Source organism: Homo sapiens, chromosome 11 (assembly GCF_000001405.40).
Source record: "Homo sapiens chromosome 11, GRCh38.p14 Primary Assembly".
NCBI lineage: Eukaryota > Metazoa > Chordata > Mammalia > Primates > Hominidae > Homo > Homo sapiens.
In genome coordinates this window covers 122,060,846-122,085,112 of record NC_000011.10, presented here as the reverse complement: position 1 = coordinate 122,085,112, position 24,267 = coordinate 122,060,846, and the positions used below count along the sequence as shown (strand labels likewise).

The window sequence follows — 24,267 nt, the reverse complement described above, 5'->3', positions numbered from 1 at the left end:
TCAAATTATTATTTTATGCGTATTTCTCTGCCAGTTTACTCTCTCTTCATTTAGGAGACTCAGATAAATATATATATAATATACATGATATATCATGTATATTATATATATATATATATATATATTTTTTTTTTTTTTAGACTGAGTCTTGCTCTGTCGCCCAGGCTGGAGTGCAGTGGCATGATCTTGGCTGACTGCAACCTTTGCCTCCTGGGTTCAAGCGATTCTTCTGCCTCAGCCTCCCAAGTAGCTGGGACTACAGGTGTGAGCCACTGCACCCAGCCTCAATTTTTGTATTTTTAGCACAGACAGGGTTTCACCATATTGACCAGGCTGGTCTCGAACTCCTGACCTCATGATCCACCCGCCTCAGGCTCCCAAAGTGCCAGGATTACAGACATGAGTCACCGTGCCCAGCCGATAATCATATTTTAAAGACATTTGACATTTGACATTCCATGATGTCAAGACTTCAGGCAAACCAGTCCTAAAAGATGTGTGTGTGTGTGTGTGTGTGTGGGTTTATTAACTTATATACATAACTTAGTCCATGCATATATCAGCCACCAAGTTTTTCAACACTTTGAGAAGTTGGTTATCCTGGCTTAAAAGATCCTAGTGAATTTTTACTAGGATGATGAAAATAATGATGAAATGAGCCTCAGCGTGTTGGGTTGGGGATCCCTAAGTGGCAGGTACATGCTTAGAAAGGAGGGTTGTCCAAAGATGAAACTATTAAAACTAGTCTCTCCTAGTAAAAATCACATGGGACATTACACTTGGCTCTGGTTATACCCTTTGTACATAACTATCTAAGTCACTTAATTTCCCACATTAGATAAGTGCCATTTTAGGTTTTTTCCTCTCAACTTTCTGATTATTACCCTTTGGGATAATGACTGCCGAAAGTCCCAGGTCATTTACTGACATCAGGTAAATCCAATTAGGGTTAAACTTGTGATATACTCAAGGACTAAAAGGAACCACAAAAAATTTTTTTTGTTTCTTTTCTTGCTGGTGCTTAGAGCAGTGTAAATGCTTGCCACAGGGATTGTGAGCAGTGCACCATGATTATTACAGTACCCAGCATTAGGTATTGTGTTGAGGAGGCTATATCATTGCTTACCAATAGTGGGAGGGAGAAAATTAAAAGTGCAGTAGCACTGTAATACACAAGTATTACAGAGTTTTTCCTTACTCTGCTCATAGTGTGATAACTGGTAGGTTCAGTGGAAAAGTAGGAACGAGCCAATGGTAGAATAATCACACTATCTAGAAAAGGACCTCTGCAACTTATCTTGAAGGCCTCTAGAAAAGGACCTCTGCAACTTCCCCACGCACTTGGAGTAACAGCAACACTTGCTCTCATAAACTACTATCGTGATTGTAGACTATGACTTATTCAACGAACTTGAATTAATAAACTAAGCAATCAACATTAGGGAGAGTTTGGGGAGGAATGTTAGACAGTGAAGGTCAAGAGACACATGTTCAAAGTTTCATTTTCGTGAATCAAAGGGGCTATGTTATAGATCTAACTCTATCGATAATTATTTTCTTTACAATTTCCATAGTAGAGTTAGCTCTTCAGTAAGAAGAGAAACAAGGTAGTTGACTTGTTCTTACTTTACAGAGATGTTGAATGTAAATATGGTATAGTGTTTTGAGAAGGTCTTTAGATTACACACCACTGGCTTTTAAATACCCAGGTTAACAGAGAGGAGCAGGGTGCAGATGTTATAAAAAATGAATATGGTCTTCAGAATATGCCTTAGATGCTCACTTCAGTCAAATTCCCTTTTTAATTCTAGGTTCATAGACTTTCACTGATGAAGAAGCCACAAAGGCCATCTTTTGCTTGAATTTCCTGTTAGCTTATAATGGACCACATTCCTGATCAGCAATTCCATCTTTGGACAACTCAGATCATTTGAATACTTTTTCTTTCTTTCTTTCTTTCTTTCTTTCTTTCTTTCTTTCTTTCTTTCTTTCTTTCTTTCTTTCTTTCTTTCTTTCTTTCCTTCCTTCCTTCCTTCCTTCTTTCTTTCTTTCTTTCTTTCTCTCTTTCTCTCTGTCTCTCTTTCTTTCTTTCTTTCTTTCTTTCTTTCTTTCTTTCTTTCTTTCTTTCTTTCTTTCTTTCTTTCTTTCTTTCTTTCTTTCTAATTGAGACAGAGTCTCGCTTTGTCACCAGGCTGGAGTGCAGTGGCACAAACTCGGCTCACGCAACCTCTGACTCCCTGGTTCAAGCGATTCTTTTGCCTCAGCCTCCCGAGTAGCTGGGATTACAGGCACATACCACCATGCCCAGCTAATTTTCGTTTGTTTGTTTGTTTGTTTGTTTGTTTGTTTGTTTGTTTTTCAGTAGAGATGGGGTTTCACCATGTCGCCCAGGCTGGTCTCAAACTCCTGACCTCAGGTAATCCACCTGCCTCGGCCTCCCAATGTGCTGGGATTACAGGCGTGAGCCACCGTGCCTGCCGAATACTTTTTCTTAATATTGAATCACAAAGGCATCGTCTTTTATTGTTTCTTATTTTAGCCTTAGGAGATATAGTGTAAGTCTATTAAGTCTAGTCTCTCTTCTATTTGTCAGTCTTACAGATATTTCAAAGAAGAAATCATGTTCCGTCCAGAGTCATTTTTCTCTGGGCTGCACACCCTTAGCACTTGCAGTCATTCCTCCCATGGCATTATTTCACATGCCTTCATCATTCTTGTGAGTCTCCACATTCCAGTTGGTTTGGTTGCCTTGTTAAATGTGCTACTCTGGATTGAATGCTTTTTTCTAGATGTGGACTGACAAATGGGAAGAAATGCATGATGATCACCTTTATAAAATTTTTCCCTAAGTACTGGATTTCCAGGAATAAAATTCCTATTAATCTTTTTAGCAACCATCTATCAGTATTGATTCATCTTATCTTACCATCTATTAAAACACTTAAGTCTTTTCTATACATGCTGCTGTCAAACTCTATTTCCCTCATCCTAAAATTCAACTCATCATTCCATCTCCCAATATTTTTTTTATCCTAAGACATCTGCTAAATTAAGATTGTTTTTCAGAGTCATCTTATTCAAATGTTTGACTCAAACTTACCCAAAAGAGATCATAAGAAGCTGAGTCAAGTCACATACTGAAGTTAGGATTCCAAATGTCATTCCCCAAAGCTATCAGTCTAATAACTAACAAAGAAAGAAGTGAAGTTAGTTTTGCATGGTTAGTTTTATTTGTTTGTTTTCATTGGCCTCATATTTACATGTTTTTTTTTTTTTTTTTTTTTTTTCTTAACAACTACTGATGCTAGGAAGAAGCTATCTAGATAAATGATGGATAGCCAGAGAAAGTTGATCTGGGATCAACATTTTGCTTCAGGTAATCAAAAAAGGCAACATTTTGTATGTGAATAATTGAGATTACTATAGTGCATACACTGATGTTTTAAATAACTGGATTTTTCTCTTTCTTGCTATCTTATTGGGTTGATAATTATCCTTACTTGAAAGAGGAGATTTAGGGTAAGTAGAGTAGGAAATCTTCTGTCTATACTATTTATGGATATTAACATGTCTATATATCCTCAAAACTTACCTATCCCACAAAATAAAGTAAAAGTAAATGTGATTCAAAAATATATGTTTTTGGCTTCTCACTATAGTAACAATCCTCTATATAAGGTGGGTATGATCTGGCACCTGTTCAAGGGGCTTATCTACCAAAGTGCCTAAAGAAATTAATAGTAAGGAATTTCAACTCAATTAGAATTCTTTAAATGAATTGAAATTCATGAAAAAGCAGTTTCACAATCTGGCTCCTGAAGACAGAATTCTTAGCAAGGCTCCAATGTACTATGCTGTTGCATGGTGATGTGTATTGGGTCATTGAAAGCACCCTTTTCATTCCTGCCCTCACTCCTGTACTGAGAGTTGGTGATTCTTTCTCTGTATTCCATTTGCTTTTGCCCTTCCTTCTTTCCTTTTTCTCTATCTTTCCTTTTCTCATTGGTATTTCATGTTTCTTTTTTCACTGATTTTCTGAAAAGTCATGGTTCTTTCCACTAATTATGATTTTTTTTTTTTTTTTTTGAGATGGAGTCTCGCCCTTCACCCAGGCTGGAGTGCAATGGCGCAATCTCAGCGCAATGCAACCTCTGCCTCTCGGGTTCAAGCGATTCTCCTGCCTCAGCCTCCTGAGTAGCTGCGATTACAGGCATGCACCACCATGCCCAGCTAATTTTTTGTATCTTTAGTAGAGTTGGGGTTTCACCATGTTGCCTAGGCTGGTCTTGAACCCCTGACCTCATGATCTGCCTGCCTCGGCCTCCCAAAGTGCTGGGATTACAGGCATAAGACACCATGCCCAGCCAATTATGGATTATTTAAGAGCCATTACTGCTTGAATTTGGTGTACATATTTGGCTTTGCTTCTGATGCTACTATTGTTCCCTTAAAACTTCATTTGAGTAAACCAATGTTAAAATTACTTCTAAAACTTCATGTAGGAAGTCATATGGATTCTGTACTCTCCTTGAAGAAAAGGAAGAAAGAAAGAAAGAAAGAAAGAAAGAAAGAAAGAAAGAAAGAAAGAAAGAAAGAAAGAAAGAAAGAAAGAAAAGAGCCCTTTCTAGATGGTTTCTATGCTTTTTCTCCGAGTTACTTGTATACTGTCCTCTTTTGCTATCTGGTTTCTTTCACAGGGGAAAAGATTAAATACTTAAAAGCTGTCCCAACCCTTCTTTTCTGTTTCAATGAGTATCACTATTCACTTTCCCTATTCTCTGCAAGACCACTGCTCCTGTTCACCAAGTGGTTCTTCAACTAGGCTGAGCATCAAAATCACCCTGGAGAGCTGGTAAACCACAGGTTGTTAGAGCCCCTCTAGACTTCCTGATCCAGCAGGTGTGGGATAGAGGCCTGGGATTTACATTTTTTGTAAGTTTCCAGGGGTTGCTGCTGTTGTAGGTCCTGGGACCACACTTTGAGAATCATTGCTCTAATTCCAAACCATGATTTCATCCTTTCTCAAACATTTCTTCCACAGGATAAATAATCCCAGTTCTCTTAATGTTTTTAAAAAATACCATCTATTTCTAGAACTCTTACCATCAGCATAGCTTTTCTTTGAACTGTTTCTGAATCTATCCTTAGCTGGATGGCTAGAACTAGATACAGGGCTGTAGGTAATTCTGGTGTAATAAAAATACAAACTCCTTATATTTTAATGATTTCTCCCAAAGGGTTAGAGCAATACATTTTAATCTATTATTTAGTTTGTCTGCCTAGTATTCATATGATATTATCTCATTTTGGTAAAGGAAATATTTGGGGTAGAATATTGAGCAGGTACCATGAAGACCTGCAGGACAACACTTGAGCCCAGTTTTCCTGACTCCTCGTTCACAAGTCTTTTTTGTGAAGACTTGAATTTTTGGAGGATTTTTGTAAATTTTAAAATCCAAAGTCCAGTTCAGTTCATTGAATCAAGGTGAACTGCTTCAGCCTACTAATACACTGTTTAAAAGGGAGAAATTTGCTTGATTTTGAGTCCAAATTGTTATTGGCTGTGCTTGATTTAAAGAATTCTCTTCAAACAATATGAAAAACTCGAAGTCTTTTATCTAGACTTTTATTTATTTATTTTTATTTTATATTATTTTATTTTATTTTTGAGATGGATTCTCGTTCTGTCACCCAGCTTGGAATGCAATGGCGTGATCTCGGCTAACTGCAACCTCCGCCACCCGGGTTCAAGCCATTCTCCTGTCTCAGCCCCCCGAATAGCTGGGATTACAGGCATGAGCCACCACACCTTGCTAATTTTTGTATTTTTAGTAGAGATGAGGTTTCACCATGTTGGCCAGGCTGGTCTTGAATTCCTAACCTCAACTGATCCACCTGCCTCAGCCTCCCAAAGTACTGGAATTACAGGCGTGAGCCACTGCGCCTCACCCCTAGACCTTTATTTTTATGACCACAGGTAATGTCTTCATACTGTGTGGCTTTTAGTTTACTAAGCATATTAATGTGGGTGCAGTGTGTCCCAAAATTTTACCTCTTGTAGTAAAATAGCCTTCTGTCTCTACAAGTTGATTAAGACATTTTTTCATTGTTTCCAATCTTGCTATTCACAAGATCATTAGGAATTTCTACATTTATCATTTGCTTGACTTTATGTACGTATTTCCACTTGCAAAAATGGAAATAGAGATTAGAGGGAAAGCAGTTTCTCCACCTACCAATTTTATTATTTACTTGATCTCAAAGTCCTTTAGCTCCTTAAGCCCCATGGTCCCCTCTCTGCTTTTCTTACATCCTGTCTTATCTCCCCATCATGAAAAAAAAAATGAAGAGCCTGACAGCTTATAAGGCCATAAAGCTGGATTAGATAGGTTTTTAAGGGTCTTATTGTTTGCCCCTAAACCATTATTGCAAAAGTGAAAGGCTCCAACTGTTCCACTGACATTCAAATTGCCGTCAGCAAGGTATTAGAAGGAATCTCATTTATTACCACCAAGGAAATAAATAACACCAATGGACTGAGTGTCTTTCATCCAAATTAGACTAACCAAATCAATTCAAATCATTAGAATACATTATATCCAATTAAATATAAATCTGCCTTGTAAATAGCCACTTACCTGCTTGCCCAGAGCAATGTAATGCTTTATGCTAAACTAACAGTTTAAGAAATTATAGAATTGACTGGCAAAATATCTTAATGAGTTGTTACATATTTTTATAGTTAATTCATTCAATAAACATTAATTTAGGACATACTATGTCCTGGGAATACAAAGATGAATGATACATAATCCTTGTCATCAAAGAACTCACCTCATTAGGGGAAACAGACATGTAAAGAAATGCTGACCCTTAGTAACATTTAGTCTCTGGAAAATTAACGGTGTGAATTTCTGCCTGATTCAAGCATGGGGGGACAGCAGGAAGATGAAGAGACTAGAGAAAATATCTAGAAGAAAGTAAAAGATGAAAACTTGAGACAGACTGCATAAAGGATTATGTCCAGTGCCTTCCAGTGGACATGGAAATACAGGTTTAAGTTAAGTTGAACATAATGAAGAAGGTGGGCCTGTGTAGGAGTGGTAAACATTGTATTCCAAAGTCAAATAGAAATGACTTTCTGATTATCAAGAAGGTTGAAGTACCTGTGATCCCATTCCATCTGTTCTCACAGATAATTATACCAAATACGCTAAAAACATATTTGCAGGGGAATCACTAGCAATGGGGGAAACATTCACATTCTTTGACTTATGCTTCTATCCCCTAGATAGTCCATTTGCTTAAGTAATAATATGCTCTTTCCTTTATATATCAAGCTTTAACTCACCCACATTTAGGTGAAAACATATGTTAAAGACACACAGGGAGCCACCCACACTTTCCTTAAATAATGGCCCTGTTCTCTTTAAACAATGGCATTTGGTAGGTGGCCAGCTGGACTTAGGCTGGACTATCTGAGATCATGGTACATAGTGAGGACAGACAAGTGTTTGTGCAGTAGAAACTAACTGATCTATACAAGGATTGAATTTACATCTTGAACGCCAAGTCCAAACCAGCTGATTATAGAATCATACTAGGTAAGAAGATTATCTTTTTCATTTTAGGTTTTCAGTATCTTCTTTGAAAAGGCACATTCCCCACTGAATCTCTTAATTGAGATTAAGTGCTGAGTTTGAGAACCCCCACCATGGTGGGTCACCAGGGCCTTTTTTAGACCTTTCAGAGAAAAGAGGTTCTACAGTGAAGTATCAAGTTCATTGAATGTACAACCAGGTTGACTCCAGAAATGAAATAACCTTAAAAGCAATGCTGAGAAAAATGTTATAAGTAGCTTTTGAACCCTAAAAGAAAGTCATATAAAAAACAAGTTACCTTCTTCCTGAGTCATTCATTTTTACCTTTTTAGAAAACTATTTATTTCCATTTTCAGCCCTACTCACCATCCTGCATTGTCCAAGATGTTTTGCAATAATTATAGTCTTATTATTAGCTAATAACCATGAATTCACCTTTTTACCCGATTCTTCAGTTTATACGTTCTGCTCTAGAGAATGTTTAAAATCTTGCTATCAGGTTCTGCATACTGGCATTTCTTGTGTGTGTGCGACCAGCTTTCAATCAGAGCATTGCTGAGTTCTCATTGGCCAATTTTCTTACGGTCTGAATGCCAGTCAGTAATGCCCATTCACAAAAGCATGGGATGAGGCAATCATGCTTGCAGTGAGGAAGTCTCTCTCATGCTTTTTATTTCGTATGTAGCTGATAATCACTTTTTCTTGCATCTGGCTAAATGTCTGACCATGTGAAGTCCCATGAATACTAAAGAGCAAGTGCCCCAAATATGTGCACATTTTTATTGTATAATTGATGCAAGTGACTGCTCTGTGAATAAAATGTTTGCACATACAGTGACTTTGTGTTGGGCCAGGAGCTATTTACTGGGAGCCAGCAGAGGCTCTTTATACAACTGAGGCCCTGGTTGAGCCTCCCTTGTGAAGTTGGACAGAATTTTCTCCAGCATTCTCCCATGTGGTAGTGCTCTGCCTAACCCGTAGCTCTGTCCTGTGTCTCCTGCCCTTAGGGTCTTGAGCTCAGCTCTCTGTACCTGTTAGAGAGTACCTGATAGAGTAACGTTTCTCTAACATATTATTTAATAAGCTGGGGTCCTCCCATGGGTATTAGGGCTTTAATAAAGGAACCTAGAAGACTGACAAGACTTCTCTGCTCAAGGAAGGATTCTCCAATGATTGATTTTTTTTTCTTTGACCCCATGGCAGACTTGCAGGGGTGAAGGGAGGAACCCAAGATAAATCACTCTTATTATATTTTTCAACACAATTTGTCTGGGAAGACTGTTAAGCAGACAAAGCTTATCTTTTGTTCCCGCAGCTCTACTTCCTACTTTGCTCCAATAACCTGGACACTCTATGCCCTTCTGTTTCTGTCACTTGCTTTCAAATCCAAACCCACTGAAGTTCAATTACAGATGTGCCCTGAGACAGGTTCTTGCTCCTGTGTCTCCATCATTATTGTGCCAGCAGAGCGAGAGACATTCATTCCATCCACGCAGGAGGACCAGAAAACATGCTACTTTTGAGGAATGTACATGAGCAAAAGGATACCAATTGGTATCCTAAAAGGTTCACGTGACAATAGAATCATTAATACAGTGTCTCAGAGTTCCAGATGCACCTTCTCCCTTTGCTTTTTAAATACTTAAGATTTTAATCACTGGAATGGAACTTAGAGGTCATCTATACAACTCCACTTGCCGCCTTCTTCTTCAGTGCAACCTTCAGCCGTCCCATTTGTTTTCCTAAGTTCCCCATTTGTTCACCTATGTTTACAAATAGATATCCAGCCCCAGCAAAAGCTGCAGAGAGGCTAGCCCCAACCCCTGGCACTTAATCCCATCTAATGAAAGACCAACTTAGAATTTCCTAAACCAGCTTAGAATTTCCTTTTAGCCAAAATTCTTTCCTTAAATTCTAAATGCAGAAAGTTTAACTACAAACAAAGATATACTTCTCGGTTAAAGGTTTATGGGTTTTATTTGAGCTACTCAGGACTGATATTAGTGGTATACTCACCATTTCCTCCATTTTGCCTTGTGTTTAATTTCTTTACTTCTTCAGATTTATTATTTATTCTTTGAGCTATTTCCTCCCCTCCCCCTGGCCTTATCTCTGTCCTGCTTTATCATGTTCTTCTCCGGGCCATCCTTCTTATTGTCTGCCTACTTTATTTTCCACACACACTGAAAATTACTCCACACACACAGATGCTAGACCACTTCCCACCTTCACAATCCCAGAAACATCTGATTGCAGGGTAAAATGCCTTTAATGGCCATTCTATTCAGTCCCCTGCAGTCAAGTCACTGCTCTGCCTATAAGCAACTGCTATCATCATTCCAAATCTGAACAGAAATATCGACTCCTCAAGAAAGCCTTCTTTGACCTCCTCCCAATTAGATCCTGTCCCTTTGTTTGTGTTCTCATAACTTGCTGTAATGTTTTTCTTTATACCATTCATGGTTTGTAATTATGTATTTCGACAATGATTTGATAAATGCATGCTCCTCCCATAGGACTTCCCTCCAGAGAAGGGAGATGTGTATGGTTTACTCACCACTGCATCCCTACCTCATAGTTCAAGCGTGGCTCATAATAGGAAAAAATAATAATTCACTCTTATTATTATTACTAATACATCTATGATCAGCCTTGTTTTTATTATAAAACCAAACCTGGTGATAGGTCAGGGAGTTACAGATTTGCTTTTTCCTTTACTCACTAATTCATTCATATATTCATTCATATATATTCATATATTCATATATATTGTTATCAAACAAATAACAAAAAATATATATATTTCATGATTGCTGTTTAAACCCCTTTTCAAGCAAACAAGGGTGAAACAGCTAAAAACTCTACCAATAGAAGAAACTTGTAATTGTTTAGGGGATAACAGGCAGATACAGAAACATACATGATTCTAATACAAAATAGAAACTGTTCAGTGCTCAAGAGAGCACTTTGAGCTTGGAGGACTGGAGAAAGATTTACAGAGGAAGCAGCCTTTAGCTGAGACTTGGTGGTTATGGGAAACTTGGACAGATGGAGATGGGAAGAAACAGTGTTCTAGATGGAAGCAAGAGTGAGATCAAAAGCTTGTACCTCTATCTGTAGAAAGTCATGTGCATGTATAGTAAATAGTCAATATCTTAGTAATCTCAAAAGGGAGATGGTGCAGAAACTGAAGACTGAAAGCAGGTCCTGGGAGAAATTGAATGTTGGTCATAGGAGCTTAGATTTTTATTCTTAGGCCAGGGTGGAGTCATTGGAGGCCTTTGAGAATGGTGACCTCATCTGAATTGTGAATTTGGAAAAGTAATTTAGCACCACTGTGTCTCAGGGTTAAGTTGGCTGTTGTGCTAATGTCAGAGACTCCTGTCTCTGATGTTTATTACCTATTCCTTAGTGTCCAAGGGCAGGGACTTTAACCTCTGCTGCTCTGGCCTGAAATCATCTACTAAGTGTCCCTGATATTCACTGCCTGCAGTTTAAAACTCTGCTTATCATTTGCATGTTCTCAACTGACACACTTGATCTTGGTCTCCTTAAATAAATAGACAACTCATAGCACATCTTTCAAGCCAGGTCTTCTTCCTTCTATTTTCAGATGAGGAAACTGAGGCTTGTAAATGGCAGAATTGATTTTCAAACCCAAGTCGTCTGATCCCAGGTCTACAGCTCTTTTCTGTCATAAGTTGACAATCTCTGTTAGCTCTAATGAAGGTTAAAAAATGAATTAATACAAATCAACCCACAATAATGAAAATTTATTGAATCCTTTCTATGTGCAGACCCTGTTCTGAGTGTTTTTATGTGTATCGAATCACTTAATGACCACAAACATTTTGTGAAGTAGGTACTATTGTTATCCCCCTTTTACAGGTGAGGAAATCATGATATGAGAATTTAAATAATGTACCAGTCATACTATTAAGTAGAAGAGCCTGGACAGAAACCCTGGCATCTGATTTTTGAATCTGTGCTTTACTGCTGTGCAACTGCCTCCTAAGTTTAGGGATATACACATGCGAATGCACCTATTCATTTTCCCATATGCAGTGGGTGCTTAATAAATGTTGCCTGAATGTTAGTTTTATCTTTGATTTCAACTGACATTGCGTGCATCCCACTTGTCTTGTGCCTCAGAACAATTTTGCTATCTGTGATTTGTTCTCCAGATGCTCCAACACAGGTGGTCATCCCTAGATTAATGGCTGTACTGCTGTGCGTTTATTTCTGGTCCTTCACCCTCTGCAACCCCAGGGGTCTACATTCACTTTCCATCCTGGTCTTTCCAGTCAAATTCAAACCTGCCCTGTTCTAGTTAATTACAGATGACATTTGCTCTTCTGTGCTTGCAAAAGACATGGTGACATGTCACATACACACTTTTAGGGTCACATACACACTTTTGGGGAATGAATCTTTTATAAACCTATTACCCCTCTACCAGCATTGTATGGGTTTCCAAAGACTATCAGGAAAGATCTTTTGGAATGGCAAGCAACTCACTAAAAATTCATCAAAGCAGTTTAAATTTTTTAAAGAAAAACTAATCGCTGTTGTATATCTACTATGTTATGCTAGGCACTAAGCATTTTCAAATATCATGTTTCTTATTTAGAAATCACAACAATTATGTGAAGAATTATCACTTTATTTTACGGAGAAGAAATCAGGCTCAGAGAAATAAAGGTGCTCATGGTCAGGACTAAGGAGTTGCGGAGCAACAGTACAAATATAGGTGTGTCTGACTTCAAAGTTCGGTCATTTGATTGACAAATATTCATTAAGTGCCTACCATAAGCCAAGTACCTGTTAGGTCCTGGGGATGTGTCAAGAAGCAAGATAGGCATGGCTCCCTCGGTAAAGAGCGCACAATCCAGCAAGAACAGATAACTGCATAAATGATGATGTCAAGTGTGATAAATGCTGGGACAGAAGAAATGCAACTAATATGTCCCTTCTTTGTATTCCAAAGGTAGTAAACAGTGTAAGCTTTAATTTTATTTTTTAGAAATGTACATCACATTTAATAAAGTAATTATTCCCTTCTCTCCAATCTTCAATCTTCACATTCTCTCTCTACTAGGGGAGTTTATTTGAACAACTGAGGATCTTAACACTATGCAATTCACCATGATATCTACTGTTGGAAAATTAAAAAATATAGGTGCGATGTTAGGCCATTAGAAGCTTAGACAGGACTGCCAGTGGTAATTTGCAAGATGTGCTAGAAAAGTTTAGGAAATCCTGTAAGAGGGTCCATTTTGGTAACTAAGCTCCTTTTGCATGAATGGTCAGGAAAACCTTGCTAGCGTGGGATAGTGCTTTGGCAATGGCAGTGGCAGGCTGTGGGCTGTGAGAGGAGCTTGTGCCCCGGTCTTGTTTACAATTTGTCTGAGGCTCCTTGAGCTCAGCCCAGCCAGATGGACTCTTCCTCTCAAATATCAGACCTGATCTCTTCAAATAAAACAGTACAAAGCACATTAAAAGCTTTGATCCAACTGTTCACTTTGCATTTGTGTGTGTTAGGGAAATGGGGACAAAGGAAGGATTTATGAGGCCTTGCTGTGGGTGGCCAGCACAGACACTGGGTACGTTAGAGGGAGGACGGGAGTGCATGCTCTGTGGCGAGGCTCGCTGGACCCATGGCCCTAGCCTGCTCGGACGCCCCCGTGTGCTCATCACCTTCCCGGAAGTTGCTCTGTGGGCCTCTTTCACATTTCAGTCTCCTGGTCATAAAGGGAAAGTTCCTGCAATAGGAGCCCTGACTTGGCTGGTCAATCTTTTTCTCTGCCTCAGGGCGGGTTGGAGTCGGACACCTTTCTTTAGGATTTTTCTGGAAAAGAGGTTTGTCAACATCTCTTGGTGACACTGTCTTCCATTTTCATGACCACATTGTACCCTTGAATCATTTCACATAGAGTAACTTATTTGATTTACATCGTTCCAAAACAGGTGGTTATGTATACGTTCTCTCTCTCTCTCTCTCTCTCTCTCTCACACACACACACACACACACACACACACACACACACACACAGTACAGACATTTCTATTACACATATTAGAAAACTGGGTGTTTGGATTACAGGAAGGAGGAATCTTTAAGTGACTCCTATTATATACCAGACACTTTCAACAGATGATCTCATGAATCCTCTCATTCCCATGAAGTAGATAAGATTTGCCCATTTTAAGGATGAAAACTACTGACACTCAGAGAGTTTAAGAACTCTCTGGTTCATTTGTAACAGATACCTATTATCATATTACCTATTATGAAAACTATGATTACCAAAAGGATGGAGCTAAGATTCAAACTCAAGTATGTTGATTCCGAGGCCTGTTTGGTTTGCTCTTTGGCCTGCAGTTGCAAAGCTGCACCCCTCACAGGACTTTTGTCCTCTAACTTCTAGCTCAGTGTTCTTTGCCTCTACCAAACCTGCGGTGTAAAGGGACAGCAGCTCTCAGAAAATACTCTTTTATGTCTGTTTTCTTTTATTTGTGTTCAGTAGAGACCGAGAAGATCTCACAGGAAAGCTTCAATACAAGTTTTGAGATCAGTAAATGAAAGGAAATTATATGGACAGAATATGCAATATATTGAATGAGGATCCAGGAACCTTCTTATGCTTAGGAATGGGGATATAGCAGAAAATTGCAGCCTTCCTTTTGCTGAATAGAAAAGCAACTCTGATTGCTTAGTAAATACTTTGAGTGAAGTCTATAGAATCCATGAGTGCTAATATAATATTGCCCTCTTATTTCTCAGCTTCAAGTCACCTTGCCTCCCTCACCCCACCCCACCAACCCTGCATCCAGATAAAACTGTTGCACGTTAAGCATTTGGTCTCTGGATAGTTCTGGGATGGGCGCTAGAGAGAAAAGGAATTTAGAAATTCCAATACAAACACAATACATAAAGCTTAATAAATTTCAGTGATTAATGAATTTAAATGCCCCTTTAAAAATCAATTCTTCCTAGATTTCAAAAACAAATGAAGCATTTGGAAAAATAAAGATAAAACATGATTGTTTCATGTTTCTCAAATAGTATTTAAAAATAGCTAGTCAGTGTGTGTGTGTGTGTGTGTGTGAGAGAGAGAGAGGGAAAGACTAGGTACTGTAATTTTAATTGCTTGTAATCTAACTTGCCTTTTTGTTCCTTTTTTCTTCCTTTCTTTCTTTTCTTTTTTTGTATCAGTTAATCTGTTGGTTACATTTTCAGCTTTTCTTTGCTTCTGGTTTCATTTTCAGATGAAAAAATGCTAGGCACACAGTGCTGCTGTCTGGTTGCCATGGCGACCACAGCCTATTATCCTGCCTTGTCATTCATCAAGAAAGAATTACACTTGACAGAGGCAGAGGAAAATGCCTGCAGTCTGCAGCATAGGAGGAAAAAAAGCGTTTCTTGTCTTCTATGTATGTAAAAGGTCTTTAATGCCCATTTAGTTACATGTTTTATTTAGCGTTATTTATTACTTGTAAGGACAATAACTGATACCTGTAAAAATACGTCCCCTCCCTCCTAAAGTATTTAACTTGCAATTTGTCCATTTGCCTTGCTTCCCCGTTTCAGACATATACCTAGTGTCATGCTCCCACCCACCACCACAAACACCGCTTCCACTCCAGCAATAGAAACAACCAAATGATTACATTCTCCACGGAGAATGACCACTGCAAAGGTAGCTAAGAGAGCCAGTTTTTCTTCCAAAAATGTTTTTTTCTAATCAATAGTTCTGTTGACCTGCTATTCTTAAAACTAGTGAGTGCCATACATAATCAATGAATAATTGAATACATTAATAAGTTTTGATTATTTCTCCAAGTGTGCAGTGCCCATGAAGTATAGCATCAAGAAACTAATGCAAAACTGCAGAGATCTTTCCGTGAGATAATTGAATATAAAATCATGATTGCTTTTTACAAATTTGGATTCATCCCAAATCCATTGTTCTTCAAAGGCAGGAAAAGGTAATTACTTGTTATTCAACTATTCCTCATCATGGCTATTTGGATTAACCCAAATTATTTCCAAAAATAAATGGTGTGATAACTTTTGTATGTTTAAATATCTAGGCTTTTTTTTTTAAGTCTGATATTTTCCCACCTCATTATTCAACTCTTACAATGGCTGTATCCAGTGGGCAATTTTAAACAACTTTTCTCTGTGGATTTCTTTGCTTTTCTCCCCTTGAATTGTTTGATTTCCTTGTTAAGATGGAGAATGTGGTCATAAAAGAGGCAGTATTTTAAGTTGAGATGATCCTCTGCGAGTGTTTTTTAAAATATTTCTGTTTGATCTTTTGTCTCAGTGATCAGAGAAAAGGTGGACGGTAACAACACTTCACCTTGAGCTGTTAGAATACCAGCATTTAGCATAACTGATATTTGTTGCAATTAAGCCATGCTACGTTGAGTGCAAATGGGCAACTACAATGAGGACCACTGGACTTCTGAAGTTCAAGTTCTATTCTGTCTGAAGACAATTTCCCTGCCAGAGGTCAAACTTTAGCACACACATGCCAACACAGAAGTCATAGTCCTGCATTGTAAGTGAAACAGAGTTGGACAATTGTCTGGTCAGTTTTGGTTTTGAAATGGTTCAGATTCTAACCTTCCCACTACTTCCTTAATTATCTCAACAATTCTGGCAAGAGGAGGTTTGGGGGTGGAAAAAGATAATTCTAAAAGAATTAAATAATTATAGCTGTCAGGAAATCTGTCCTGGATTTTATATATTCCTGCATAATAATTCAAAATCTCTGGATTTTTGCCGTATCTAAGATAAGTTCTTTTAATGCATACCTCACAGCATCTTTTATACGTCCTTGCAATGTAAACATGTAGAAACCATGGAATGTTTTTCTTTAATCTTGACATTTGGGAGAGCAAAGGAAACAACAAAAAGGAGAAAAGACGTGTTGAGTTTAGAATTGTGGTTATTTCTTATTGGTTCTAAACTTTTACTTTAATGTTGCAGCAACACCACTGTTCATTTCCTGTTAAACTCCAAGCCTACCTTTTGATTTTCAAATGTCCCTTAGGCTAACGTTTTCACTGAGGAACGAAATGAACAGGCAGAAACAATTAAGCGAGCAGATACAGTGAAAACAAACACCACACCGCACTTTCACAGAAATGGAAGTGTATGAAGGAATTCTGCTTGGAATTTGATCCCACAGCAGCAAAGCTTTTGCTTCTTGTCATTTTTCTTCTGCCTACCCCCAGTGCACACCACTTCCCCTGTATGGGGAAAAAAAGATCTAGGCACACAAAGGAACTCCTAAATACTCACAGGCGTGGGAAATATTTTCTCTGCTTGTTACTAGTACAGGATAATCTCCAAGGAAGAAAATCCAGCTAGATATTCTACACTGCAAATGTCTCCCAAAGCCTGTTAAATGTTCACATATGTCTGTATGAAATTTGTAATATGGATTGTTTATATAGTCCTGATTAAGAGCATGAACATCATTAAAAAGGATAAAGTCAGTTTGAGGACGGAAAATTATAATGTCAGCTAAAACGGTTACCTACCAAAAAGTATGGATTTTTTTTTTAACTTAATCATCTGTGGCTCTTTAAAGAAAAAGATACATAAACAGCCAAAAGTGAGTTGTTAAAGAGCCTTCTAAATTCTATCAGGAATTAACAAAGAAGTAATTAACTCTACCACAAACAAATCAGCCATCACATGTTTATAGCATTTTTGTCCCTCTGTGAAAGCTATATCTTCTTTTTTAGTCCCACACTAAGAGATTTTACATTGCAAGAGCTTGGCATTCCTATTTTTGGACTGACTGTGTTAAAACAGGGTGCTATAATACACAAAGGAGACTGCTTACAACATAGCAAGGTAAAGGGGCTTAAGGAAGAGGCATCATTACATCCATTCCGGGAGAATCTATATAATTATCAGATACAATGCTTGTATGATTGATTCAAGTTGAGCTCCGTCTGAATTCAAACTTTATTTCTAAAGACAGTATGCATTTGGAAATTGCCTTGTGAAACCGTCAGAATACAGAAAACACAAAGTTTAAACGTTTTGGATGCCTTCTGTAAGGTAAAGCAGTACCTCAGCAGTGAATCAGGAAGATGGACAGCATCGGTAAGATTATACTGAGCGGAAGGCATGGTTTTTGTTTTTTATTGAATCCATCCCATAGTTATTTTCCTAATAAAACAACTCTTGTAAACCAGGGTCTTTGTATGTTTGTTGTTGTTACAGGAGTTTTTTTTAATACCAGTACAATAGTTTTACTCTACAATAGCGAAGATGGGAAGACAGCTGCTAGTAAACATAAAACTGGTCATATAATGGCATTACAATGGATTTTTTATTTGAGATTCCAGGATGGGGTAAATTTGTTACCCCAGCAAATAGCTGGTTACATGGAAATTGACTTTATATAATAGGGAACATTTCTCTGAAAGAGAAGGCAACTTATATTGGTTAAAGCACTAAACACCAACACACTTCCTCTTTTTTGTCGTTTATTCAAAAACAAAACAAATCAGAACATACCTATGTGGTGTCTAGACATCAGAACTTTCTAGTAAACCATTCTTGAAGGTGTTATAATACCATTCTTGAAGCAATGAAAGGGCACAAATGAATTTTCAGCAGTGCATGGAAGATATAAGTGGAATAGGACAGTTTATCTACCTTATCTGCAGTTATCTACCACTGGCATCACTGAACTAAGAAAACTGAAATCATTTGGTCATCTTGCTTGCCTTTGCAACACAAAAAGATAAATCTAAAATATTCATAGATGTATTTGCATATTTGCCAACACAGTTCATTCTTCTGATTATAGTGCTATATTTGTTAAATGTCTAAATGACCTTACAGGGAAAAAAAAAATAGGTAGCGGTAGCAGCAGGGAAAGTGTAATTAAACATGAAAAACTTCACTAGGATGGGTAGCACTAAACTTTGAAACTAGTCACCACTACAATTTGCAATTCTCTTTTGCTAGCGGTCCATTGTGGCCCCCCAAAAGAGGCTCCCAGAACCTGTGAATGTGACCTTGTTTGGAAAAATGTCTTTGCAGATACAGTTAAGCTAATGATCTCGAGAGGATATCGTCCTGGATAAGGGTGGAGCCTACGCCCAAAAACAAGATTACCTGAAAGAGAAAAGAAAGGGGGAAAACACACAGAGATACAGTCGGGGAGGCCACATGAAGATGGAGGCAGAGACAGGAGTGATGAGCCTGCAAGCCAAGGAATGCCAAGGGCTGCCAGCAGCCATGAGAAGCTGAGAGACACAGAGAACGAGTCCTCTGCCAGAGCCTCCAGAAGGAACTAACCCTGTCAATACCTTGATTTCGGACTTCTGGACTCCAGAACTGTGAGAGAATATATTTCTGTTGTTTTAAGCCATTCAGTTTGTAGTAATTGGTTACAATAGCCATGGGAAGCTAACATAGGGTCCTTCAACAATCAAAGCAAAAAAGAGGACCTATTAGCACATGGAGTGCAAAGGAGGAAGGAATGACTGAGCTGTTTGAAAGTGCAGCGGGATGTCATGGGCAACCAGAACTCAGGTCCAAATTCTGCCAGAACTCTCCCTCTGTGTTAGTCTATTCTCACACTGCTAATAAAGACATACCTGAGACTGGCTGATTTATAAAGGAAAGAGGTTCAATTGACTCACAGTTCTGCAGGGCTGCGGGGGGGACTCAGGAAACTTACAATCATGACAAAAGTGGAAGCAAACACATCCTTCTTCACATGGCAGCAAGGAGAAGTGCCGAGCCAAAGGAGGAAAAGCCCCTTATAAAACCATCAGATTTCATGAGAACTCACTCACTATCATGAGCACAGCAGCATGGGGATAACTGCCCCCACGATTCAATTACCTCCCACCAGGTCCCTACCAAGACACGTGGAGATTATGGGAATTACAATTCAAAATGAGATTTGGGTGGGGACACAGCCAAACCATATCGGTCTCTTTCCTCTCTGCTTCACTGTCATTGAAAACTGGCATTCTTCACTTGGCAGCAAACATTGCTGCTAACATCTTTTGAGTTTTTTATTGTATGGCTTCAATCATCTCAGACATACTAACTTCCTTTCATATTTCCAAATTATCTGAAAGAATCTTACTTTCCTAATTTGGGTCATGTCTCACCCTGAACTAACCAACAGAGGCTAAGCTGCCAGGATCTTATAAAATATGACAGCTCCTAAGGAAACCACTTGAATGAGTGGAGGTGCTGGGCACCCAGGAGTCCATCACATGGGATCTTTTCTGTCTGTGATATGATAGCCATTTTTTTAAGGACAACAGTGTGGCATTTGCAAAGACATTTGTTTTGTGGACAAGACATGCAAGTGAATCTGAGCTCTGCCATTTACTGGAAGTGTGACATTAGCAAGTCACTTGGCCTTTCTGAGCTTTCTTATCTTGTAAAAAATGAGGATAGATTGTTTGATAAACACTCTACACCTAGAAGGATCTCAATAATGTTTGTTAATAATGGTCATAGAAGTATAGAACTTAAATGGACCTTAAAGACAGACAAGGTTAATCACCTTATTTTTGCAGATGAGATTTCAGAATTTAAGTTGGTGAGAAAACCAGGACAAGAATTTAGGTTACTTAACTACCAGATTAGTGTTTCTTTGTTATTTTATATGATCTGCCCCCATCCCTGTGGATATAAAATAAGGTCTCATCTGAAAGGTGTTATTCAACTAAAGAAAAAGCAGCTTTCTTAGAACAGACACTGATATTAGGCTTTAGATTAGATATTAACACAGGGATAAAGGTGTCAAAAAAGAAAGACCAAAGAATTGTGTTGGGAGTTAAAACGTGAAGGACACAGTCAAGTGCCTGCAAAATCTTGCCATTTTTGAGCCTATAAACAGTAATTACTTTGAGACAGCATTCACACAAATAAACTATGATGGGTTCAGACCCCTCTGATTATTAAGCCATCTTGTTTACATCCCTCTATCCTGTGTTTCTTTTCCTTTGGCTATCCTTATTATATAAATAAAAACAGTTAGGAAGAGCCTATTTGCGTCAGTTTGACAATGAGAAAATCAGGAGAAAGGTTTTTCCTTCTTTGGGCCAAGCTTTGGTCCTTGTAAGAACAATTGCTAATATGTCTAGTGACTATAGTTCTGATCATTTTTATGCTTATAAAAGCCTGATGCTGAATGCCTATGTTTTAAAATTTTTATAAGATCAACTTTGCTTTCAGATAACCCTCCTTCCTCCACCTCACAAAAACTCACAAGCTGCAACCCTTCTGATGTCCACTCCCACACAAACCAGCTTCAGGCCTTTTTCAAGGTAAAGTGCCATATTTATTGTAGCATTTATGAACTTCCTAATCGCATAACATGTGTAAAACTGCACTAGTGTTTTTATTAGGCTCCTACATATTTTTATGTGTCACTGATGAAGTGTTTGAATGTTTTGCCCAGTCTCATTTTTGTGCTAAACCTTATGATGTGACTTTTATTGCATGATTTTATGTGGCAATGGCGATTTTTAGGAATGCATATTTCATATTAGGGTAGAATTGACTGTATCTTGTTGGGATATGGGTTATGTAAGCAAATTCAATAGCCAAATATAATCATACTGTAACCCCTAAAATCTGCATTTTGCAACAGGTAAATGATAACTCAATAATAATTAAATCAATATTAATAATTTCTTTCTGCTTAAGGTTTACATCTTAACTGTATATTTGCCCATGATTGCTTATGCATTTCATTTTACTTCTCGGTGAGTAGCAAACTACTCACAGTTCCCTGGATGTGCCAAGTTCTCTTATGGCTCTTAGAACTCAACGTTACTTTTATTAAATTCTCACTTTCCGTCTTTGCCAGATTAATTTCTACTAATCATTTAGACTTTGGTTAAAATATCACTTCTTTCAGGAAGTCTTCCTGGCTATTATTTCCTCCTCAGTTTGGTTAAATGCCTCTTATACGTGCTCTCACAGCATTTTGTGCTTAGCTTTATCATAGTTTTTGCTACATTTGGAAGGAATTATTTGTCATTGCTTTTAGATCCCAACTTTCAAGTTAAGAGCTATGCATTTTAATCCCAAATCTCCATGCCTAGGTCAGTGCTGGCATGAAACAGACTCACAGAGTAATATTATCTGAAAATTATCTAAATAAATTAATGAAGATACTATTTCTTGAGCTAGTTTATTAGTTTCCTATTTCTAATTAACAAAAATGAACACAAGTTTAGTGGATTAAAACAACAGAAACTTATTATCTTACAGTTCTAGAGGTCAGAATTCTGACATGGATCTCACTGGGCTGAAATCAAGCTGTTGGCATGGCTCCATTTCTTCTGGAAACTCTAGTGAGAAATTCATTTTCTTGCCCTTTTCAGCGTCTAGAGGCCACACCTTGTTCAGAATTAATAGATCATATAGGTGTAAATTTATTTTCAACTTTCAGTTCTTGTCTGGTGGAAGAAGGTGGGTTATCTGAAATGAGACAGAGTAACACCAGATGAGGTTGTGTTTGACTCATAATACACGGGTGGATGTGGGTGAACTGAGCAGCTGGTAGATGTTTGCGGTGTGTTTGTGTGGTTCATTAATCTATTCGTTCATCTTTACAGCAATACCACACTTTTCCAATTTCTATACTTTTTTTGTTTTTATGATATTGTAAATGGTATGTTTATAGTTTCATTTTTCAAGTTTTGATTGCTAGTATGCAGTAAAGCAATTGACTTTTGTATGTAAACATTGTATTCTGTGATAATACTAAATCAGCTTATTAGGATTTTTTTAAAGACTCCTTAGAATTTTCTATATATTATGTCACCAGTAATTCAAAAGAGTTTTGCTCTTTTCTTTTCGGTCCTTATGCATTTTGTTTATTTATATTGTCCTATTTTACTGGCTGGGGACCTCTAGTACAAGGATGAATAAGAGTGCTAAGAATGGACATCCTTGCTTTGTTTCCTAAGGGAAAAGCATTCAGTATTTTATAATTAAATATAGTATTATTTCTATTTGTAAAAAATAAGTGGACTTTATCAGATTGAGAAAATTTTCTTTTATATCTAATTTTCTGGTGGTTACTATTATTGTTACTGCTATCATTATAGTTGGCTGTTGAATTTCATCAAATGCTTTTTCTTCAACTAATGAGATAATCAAGTGATTTTTCATTATTTTATCCTGCCAATATGTTTACTAACATTCATTTTATTTTGAGTGTTAAAACAGCTTTGGATTTCTGGTATAATCCCACTAGGTCATGATGTATTCGCCTTTTTATGTATTCCTGGATTTGGGCTGATCATATTTTCTTGAGGACTTCTGTATCTGTGTTATTGAAAGGTATTAATCTGTACCTTTCTTTTTTTGTAATGTATGTGAATGGCTTGGTATCAAGTTAACACTGGCCTCATAAAATGAATTGGGAAGTGTTCCTTTCTTTTATATTTTTGAAAGAGTTTAAATGCAATTTGTATTATTTCTTTCTTAATTGATAGGCTTTACCAGTGAAGCCATCTAAGTTTGGAGTTTTCTTGTGGAAAGGTTTTAAAATTATGAATAAATTTGTTAATAGATATAGGGCTATTCTGATTTTTTATTTCTTCTTGTGTTAAGTTTAATTGTATTCTTCAAGAGACTTGTTCTTTTAATGTAAATTGCCAAATTTTTACTCACAAAGTTGTTAATAGTATTCACTTACTGTGTTTCTGGTTTGAATAATCTGTAATAATATTTCCTTTTTCATTTGTAATATTGATAATTTATATTTTCTCTTTTTTCTTAATGAGTATAGCTAGGAGGTATCAATTTTATTAATCTTTTAAAAGAATTAACTTTTTTTAGTTTTTCAATTATTTGTCAATTTTCTATTTAAGAAATATCTGCTCTTATCCTTATTATTTCCCTCCTCATTTTTACTTTGGGTTGATTTATCCTGATTTTTCTAGTTCCTTATGGCAGACTCTTAGATCACCGTTTTTAAACCATTCTTTTTTCCTAATGTAAATATTTAAAACCTTGTTTCTTTCTGCTTTAACTTCATCTTACAAATTTTGATATGTCATATTTTTATTTCATTTAGTTCAAAATATTTTCTAATTTCCTTTTAATTTTGTATCTGACCTATGTCTTAGTAAGCATTTTAATTAATTTCCAGATATTGAAAGATTTTTCAAATACATTTTGCAATTGATTCTTAATTTAATCCTGTTGTGGTCAGAGAACATTCTCTAAATGATTTAAATTATTTTAAACATATTGAGATTTGTCTTATGGCCTAGCACAAGGTTTATCTTGGTGAATGTTTTATGAACACTTGAAAAGAATGTGGATTTTCTGATTGTTGGGAAGAGTGTTTTATAAACATACTTAGAATTGTGTTTGTTGATAGGATGATTCAAACCTTCTATATGATTATTGATTTTATGTCTAGTTATTCTGTCAACTGAGATAAGAGTGTGAAAACCTCCAAATGTAATTTTGAATTTGTCTATTTCTCTTTTTTGTTCTATTTATTTATGCTTCATGAATTTTGATGCTCTGTTATTAGATGCATGCACTGTTATGATTACTGTGGCTTCTTTATGATTTGACACTTTTATCATTATGAAATATCCCTCTTTATCTCTGGTAAAACTAATTTTCCTG

At 37.2% G+C, this 24,267-nt stretch overlaps 1 long non-coding RNA gene across 1 annotated transcript in view; it reads left to right on the top strand.

The window, feature by feature from the left end:
• Window positions 1-24,267, top strand: part of MIR100HG (mir-100-let-7a-2-mir-125b-1 cluster host gene) — a 394,543-nt gene that overhangs the window by 337,759 nt on the left and 32,517 nt on the right. The window contains exons 2-3 of the long non-coding RNA NR_137178.1: window positions 18,679-18,977; window positions 20,842-20,933. This is a non-coding gene — a long non-coding RNA (mir-100-let-7a-2-mir-125b-1 cluster host gene). The remainder of the gene's footprint in view (window positions 1-18,678; window positions 18,978-20,841; window positions 20,934-24,267) is intronic.